This window comes from Homo sapiens, chromosome 4 (assembly GCF_000001405.40).
Source record: "Homo sapiens chromosome 4, GRCh38.p14 Primary Assembly".
Taxonomy (NCBI): domain Eukaryota; kingdom Metazoa; phylum Chordata; class Mammalia; order Primates; family Hominidae; genus Homo; species Homo sapiens.
In genome coordinates this window covers 184,931,034-184,938,640 of record NC_000004.12, presented here as the reverse complement: position 1 = coordinate 184,938,640, position 7,607 = coordinate 184,931,034, and the positions used below count along the sequence as shown (strand labels likewise).

Below are 7,607 nucleotides of genomic sequence, written 5' to 3'. Positions count from 1 at the left end.
TTTGTGTTTGAATTAGTGATAAGCATCAATAATAATAATAAAATTTTAATCCAGGGAAGCAAAGAGTGGCTAGGATAGGAAAAGTCATTATAGTTTGATGCATGGCTTAGTTTAGTATTTTCATGGTTGTAATCATATAAATGCTCAACAAAGAGCTAACAAAAATTATGATATAACCAGATTAGAAAGATAAGCAGATGAGAAGGGTGTGTGTGTTTTTCCTGAGAATAAGAGAAGGAAGGACAGCCAAATTCTTCATTTGCAAAGGGATAAGCCAATAGATGAATGCATAAAGCTGAAAAATCAAGGAAAGCAATATAAGCATTTTATTTAGAGATGTAGAGGTTACTGACAATAGCATTAGCTAAGATAATTGAAAGTGGTGTTTCTGGAGAAGAGGCAAGGAGCAACTACTATTTGTGTTAATGAACATTGTAGAATTGTTTGGCTCTATAAAATTCATGCTTGTATTACTTTAATAAAAGTTAAAGTAAAAATATAAATAAACAGCAAAAAGCTTGCATAGCACGCCACTCTAAACTAATAAATGAAACTAAGTGATGAACATTTTATAGCATCTGATTTCAATCAGCATCATTTGAAGCGCTTTGAGTGCAGAGTCAGCTCAGCATCTATCCCGGAAGAAAAGCTCGGCCCTGGTGCTGACAGACACAGAGAGGAAATGGAAAGCAGCACCCCGCGGAGTGGCAGAGGGCATGGCTGGATAGGAGCATCTGTCTGCGTTCATCATTAGACGCCAGATGTAACCTGGAGTTTCAGCATTAAATGTTTATATGAAATGATGCCGAGGTGGAAATTTTGCCTTATAAAGTAGCTTATCTTGGGAACAGAGAGTACTATAAAAAGATGAATAAACGATTAAATCAAGGTCCAGACATGAGCTGATTTTTCTTAAAAGCAGTATCTTTACAACTTCAGAGTTTGAACTCTCTGATGTGGAACCAAGCCAAAAATAGCACAAAGAAAATATTGACCATGAGAGTGGTGACCTGGCAAGCTCAACACTGTCCACCTGTTAATCACTTGTCCCTGTTGATTTCAGCTTATGACTGCATACTTTCTAGCCTAATCCTACTGTTGGTATACTCAGGTGCAATAGAAGTTAAAGAGTGAATAAATCAACCTACTAAAAGAGATTCATGGGCACGGGGTGGGTGGAGAACAAACATATTACATTCCAAAATTCCTATGGCTCAAAGGATCAACTACTAAACAAAGCATGTACACCTGAGCCACTGTGGGAGCCAGCATGAAACACTTCCAAGGAATGAATTCAAGGAATGCAATTAATTCCCAAGCTCTTTTTCCCCAAAACTCTATTTTTGTTTCAAGCTAGCATTCCCATACTCTGTTCAGACTTTAATTCCATACTGTAATCTGTCCAGCTTTGGTAACCACCCAGCTGTAATTTGAACTGGCTGGTCAACAAACCAAACACCATCAAAGATTCTCATTTGTCTTGCTAAAGTCAAAAACACTGAAGATATTTAAATGTAAATATAATCTTTTACTGATCACACAATCTCAGGGAACTTTTCCCCCTTTGCATAGTGTCACAATTGGGGTTCAAATTGTGAAGACCAAATGTGTAACTTATACAAAAGTAATCACAATAGTTTGTTGCAATAGAAATGAGCTGTTCTGTGCATTGCTGACAAGCCACTTTTTAAAGTTTACTTTTAAATGTATGTATAGTAAAATTCACTCTTTTTGGTGCACAGTTCTTCAAGTTTTAACACATACATAGATTCAAGTAATTACCACCACAGAGAGGATACAGGACAGCTCTATCATCCTATACACCCTCGTGCTGCCCCACCTGGAATCCCTGGGAACCACTGATCCATCCTCTGTCCCTAGTCCGACCTTTTCCAGAGTGTCATATAAATGAAGTAATTTGGGATGTAGCCTCTTGTGCCTAGCTTCTTTCACTTAGCATAATATATTTGAGATTCACCCATATTATCGTATCATATTGATACAGCTCTGATGAATGGAGGAATACCAGGTTCTTCCTCTCGAGTTGAATTGGAAAAAACGACACGGACACACCTGGTGTGATTTTAAGGAGCAGAGAGTTTAATAGGCAAGAAAGATGGGAGAAGTCAGAAGGAAGAAGCTCCTCCATACAGAGACAGAGGGAGGGGGGCTCCAAAGCTGAAAGAGGAGACCCCACATGCCAGGATACCAGCCAGCTATATGAAGAGGCTGGAGGAGATGGTGTTTGATTTGCACAGGGCTCAGGGGATTGGTTTGACCAGGTAAGTCATTCATGTAGCCCTCGAAAAAAACTGACCCTCCCACCCTAGTCTTTTAATATGCAAATGCAGGGTGCCATGATGTTCTACATACTTGGGGATATGTGGGGGCAGCCATGTTGCCAGGAACGTGTGGGGCAAGGGCAAGAGGACAATGATGGGAATCGCCATGTTGGGTGGATCCAGTTTCTAATGGCTGGCGTTTGCATACTAAAGGTTGCCAGCTCAGCTCTAAGAGCCGGAGCTTTTCTGCTAGACAAGAAACGTTTTTGGAGGTGCTTTAAAAGAAATGAAAACTTCCCAAGGACCCCTTCTCCTCTCTATCTGCCTAAAATAATTTCTTAGTAACTCCTACAACAATATGTTTATGAATGCATGTGTGTATATACATGCATGTTTGTGTGTGCTTATATGTATATGTAACATATACATGATATATAACTTTATTATCATATATATAAGCTTTTAATTTTGAGGTAATTATAGAGTCAGAGGAAGCTGCAAAGACAATACCAAGTGGTCCCTTGTACCCTTCAGCCAGTTTCCTCCAATGGCTACATCTTATACAATTACAGCATGCCATCAGGAGCAGGACATTGATGCTGACATTGTAGGAGTGGAGGGAAAACTGCCGCTTTGCCCTCTGAATGTTTGCTGAAAATCAACTGACAGAAGGCAGATTAATAGGAGAAAAGGGATTATGGTGGCTCACACTTGTAATCCCAGCACTTTGGGAAGCTGAGGCGGGTGGATCGCTTGAGCCCAGGAGTTTGAGACCAGCCTGGCCAACTATGGTGGAATCCCGTCTCTACGAAAAATACAAAAATTAGCCAGGCGTGGTGGCGCGTATCTGTAATCCCAGCTACTGGAGAGGCTGAGGCAGGAGAATTGCTTGAGCCTGGGAGGCGGAGGTTGCAGTGAGCCAAGACGGGACCACTGCACTCCAGCCTGAGCAACAGAGTGGGACTCCGTCTCAAAAAAAAAAAAAAAAAGGAGGAAAGGCATGCACATTTATTTAATCAGAGTTTTATGTGACATAAGAGCTCAAAGATACAGGGGAAACCATCCATTTTTATGCTTAGGTATGGGCAGCCGTGTAGAGATACTATTGGACAAAAAGGGTAACATCTAATGCTGAGAGACTGAGTAGGGAAACCCGGCGAGGCCTGTCTGTCCGGATTCTTCTTGGCCTCTCTGGGCAGCATTCTTTCTTTCTGGGTGTGGGGCAGGGCCCTCTCTGGAATGGGGTTCTCATGACCTAAAGTCAAACAAGGTGGGTCAGATAATTTCCTTATGTCCAGTTTTTACACAGAAAGGCCACTTGGGTAGGAGGGATTCTAGTTTCCATGACTAGCTTCAGGGGAGAATCAGGGGCCAGTGACAGGAAGACCGGAGAAGGTGAGAGAGAGCTGCTTCTGAGGTCTCCCTTTGGGGTGCCGTTTTCTGAGCCCCAACAATATCATGTTTGCCATTTTATCACATGTGCACGTTCCCATAACCCCACCTCAACCAGTATCAGAACCGCCTCCACCACCACTGACATCTACCCCGTGCGTCGCCTCTGTAGTCTCTCTACTCCTTCCTTCCCCGCCACTTATAGTCCCTGGAAATCACTAATCTGTTCTCCAATTCAAAAATGTTACCTAAGTGGAATCACACAATATGCAACCTTTGAGATTTGTTGATTTCACTTAGTGTAACACCCTTGAGAAGTTGCTGTATGTATTCCTAGTTCATCCCTCTTTATTACTGGGTATATCTCATTGTATGTATTTTCCAGTTCGATTTCACATTCACCTGTTAATGGACAGTTGGATTGCTTCCAGTGTTTGGCAATTATGAATAAAGCTGCTATAAATATTTGCATACAGATTTTTATGGAAACATACATTTTCATTTCTCTTGGGTGATACCTAGGAGAGGAATGGCTGAGTCATATGAAAAGTGAATGTTTATCTTTAAAAGAAACCACTAAGCTGTTTTCCAAACTGGTTGCACTATTTGCACTCCCCAGCAATGTGTGAGGGTTTTACTTAGCTGCTTCCCATCTGTACCAGCACTTGGTAATGTCAGGGGTTTTGTTTTTGTTTTTAGACATTCCGCTAGGTGTAAAGAGGTATCTCCTTGTTTTAATTTGCATTTATCAGGATAAATTTGAAATAAGAAAAAAGAAACCTCACTTTGAAGGGATATTACCTTGATTTCCCTACTTCATGTTTGTATTATTACTTAGCAGAGAATCTAATAAAGATTCTGAGGAGTTGCCTCTCCCCGCAACCGCCCCCACCCCAGCCTCAGAAACCTGAAAATGGAAGTCATCAAGACAGTTGTCTGCTGTTTTCAACAACGGATAATCACTGCTGTCAACTAGTTTGTAGGCTGAGTGAGAAAAAAAAAAAAAAGCTGATCTAGTTCATTATAATTTACTTTAAATAAAAAAGCAATTTTTCTTCTAACTTCACACAAAATGTGTATTCTAGAGGCACTGTGTGAATATAATTTATATTCCTTGAATTTCATTCCAAGAGCACTGGAAATGCTTGATGTTTTGAGGACTTTACAGAGGAATTCATCTGTTATAAAAGGAAACTGCCAGGTGTGATGGCATGCACCTGTGTTCCCAGCTACTCAGGAGGCTGAGGTGGGAGGACTGCTTGAGCCTGGGAGATCCAGTGAGATGTGATCTCACCACTGCACTCCAGCCTGAGCAGCATAGCAAAACCCTGTCTCTAAAAAACACAAAACAGAGAATCAGCAGGGGTTCTTCTGAATCTGGGTCCAGGGGGCTGCTGGCCTTTCCCTGCCCTTATTCCCATCTGAGAACTGCTCCACGTGGTACCACTTCCAGGCTGGTCCCTGAGGAGACTGGTAGAGCTCACAGCATCACCAAGGAGAAACCTCAGTTGGGATAGAGCTAAGAGGTACCAGAACCCAGAGAGAATCTGAAGTCAGGCAGCCACACATCCTGCAGACAGGACAGATCAGGGCCTGCATCAAGAACTCAAAACTATGGCCAGGTGCCTTGGCTCACACCTGTAATCCCAGCACTTTGGGAGGCCGAGGTGGGCAGATCACAAGGTCAGGAGTTCAAGACCAGCCTGACCAATATGGTGAAACTCCGTCTCTACTAAAAATACAAAAATTAGCTGGGTGTGGTGGCCCGCACCTGTAGTCCCAGATACTCAGGAGGCTGAGGCAGGAGAATTGCTTGAACCCGGGAGGCGGAGGCTGCAGTGAGCCAAGATCATGCCACTACACTCCAACCTGGGCGACAAAGCCAGACTCTGTCGGGAGAAAAAACAAAACAAAACAAAAAAAACCCTCAAAACTAAGGGGCCTGGGGGCTGTGCTGGATACCGGACACAAACAGAAAATTCTGTGGGGTGAGATAAACAGAGACAATTTGCCCTCACTTCTCATTTCCTCATGGGGATAAATGATTTAGGGTGGGGGCTATCTCTCCATATGGCTCAGACAGAAGTATTCTCCAATAATTGGAGGGAGAGGAGTGTCTTTTGAAATAAAAATGGGCAGAGTAGGTAAAAATCACCTTTCTCATGGGACACTAAACAATTTGGTTTTTGGAAGGTAGTATTCGTGGTAATGAGGTGAGGGTAAGTTATTCTTAGGTAAATTCCAGAGGCTACCAGCAGCTGGTTGTAAGTGGGGAGATGGTGTGGAGATAAAGCCTCCACAGGCTCGCTCTCTCCCCTCTTCTCTTACAGAACCTGGGCTCCTCCCAGCCCTCTCAAAGCCAGCAGAAGCCAGACAGCCAAAGCACAGCAATAGGACGGCAAAGCCCCAGCTGCAGTCAGCAGACTCCAGGGGAAGGCATAAGAGACAGGGCATTAGAGAATTCTTTGGCATTAGAGAAGGGGCCGGATTTCCCTAGGGAAGGCTCTGCGGCTGGGCTGGATGGGCTGCAGCTGTGCGGCACGGGGCAGGGTGGCACTGCGGGTAGAGATTTCTTTAGGTGAAGCCACAGTTCCTTACAATTGCTGATATTGAACACTATGGTGGTTTCCTCTGGGGGCAAGTGACCTTTCCTGGGGGAGGGAGACCCCTTCTCCCAAGGCAGCAGAGGCTACAACAGTCCCATCCCACCCTTGTCATAGAAGGTGAAGGGGTGCACTGGAGTGATCACATGGGGACCCTCGTTTTCCTGCCCTAATTCTAGTTGACTTCATGTATCAGTATTTTTGTCTGAGGTAAAAAGCAACTAGCAATTCAACAGCTTATTTAAACATAGTTGTCTGTGTGAATAGACAACTATGGGAATAGTCCCTCATGGGTCTCTTCTACTTTCCTGCCCCACAGTGCTTGGTGTCTCATTCTGTGAAGGTGGTTAACTCTATTATTTAATACACATTAAGTCCCAGCTTATAACAAAATAACTTTCCTTGAATCGCTGAACCCGGGAGGCAGAGGTTGCAGTGAGTGGAGATCGCACCACTGCACTCTAGCCTGGGCGACAGAGCAAGACTCCATCTCAAAAGAAAAAAAAAAAAGAGATGGATTAAAGACTTAAATGTAAGACCTGAAACTATTAAAATACTAGGAGAAAACCTAGGGAAAACTCGTTTGGACATTGATCTAGGCAAAGAATTCATAACTAAGACCTCAAAAGCACAAGCAACAACAACAACAACAAAATAGACAAATGGGACTTAACTGAAAACCTTCTGCACAGCAAATAATAGTAATAATAATAATAAACAACAGACTGAACAGACAGCCTGCAGAATGGGACAAAATACCTGCAAACTATACATCCAACCAAGAACCACTATCTGGAATTTACAAGGAACTCAAAAACAAATAATCCCATTAAAAAGTGGGCAAAGGGCATAAATTAACATTTTTCAAAAGAAGACATGCAAAAATGGCCAACAAGCATATGAAAACGTGCACAAGTTCGCTAATCATCAGAGAAGTGCAAATTAAAACCATCATGAAATATCATCTTACACCAGTCAGTAGGGGTGTTAAAAAGTCAAAAAATAACAGACGTTGGTAAGGATGGGGAGAAAGGGAATGCTTATACATTTGCTGGGAATATAAATTAGTACAACTTTTATGAAAAACAGTACAGAGATATCTCAAAAGACTAAAAATAGATCTACCATTCCATCCAGCAATCTCACTACTGGGTATCAACTCAAAGACAAATAAATTATTATATAAAAAAGACACTTGTACATTTATGAATTGCAGCACTATTCACAGTAACAAAGATATGGAACCTACCTTAGTGTCCATCATTGCAAGACTGGATAAAGAAAATGTAGTCTGTATATATGCAATGGAATACCATTCAGTCATAGAAAA

The 7,607-nt window shown here is 42.4% G+C and overlaps 1 non-coding gene across 1 annotated transcript; it reads left to right on the top strand.

Moving 5' to 3' along the window:
- The first annotated feature begins 200 nt into the window (after positions 1–200).
- On the top strand, positions 201–258 carry MIR4455 (microRNA 4455). The gene has a single exon (NR_039660.1). It is a non-coding gene; the product is annotated as a microRNA 4455 (primary transcript).
- The last annotated feature ends 7,349 nt before the right edge of the window (positions 259–7,607 follow it).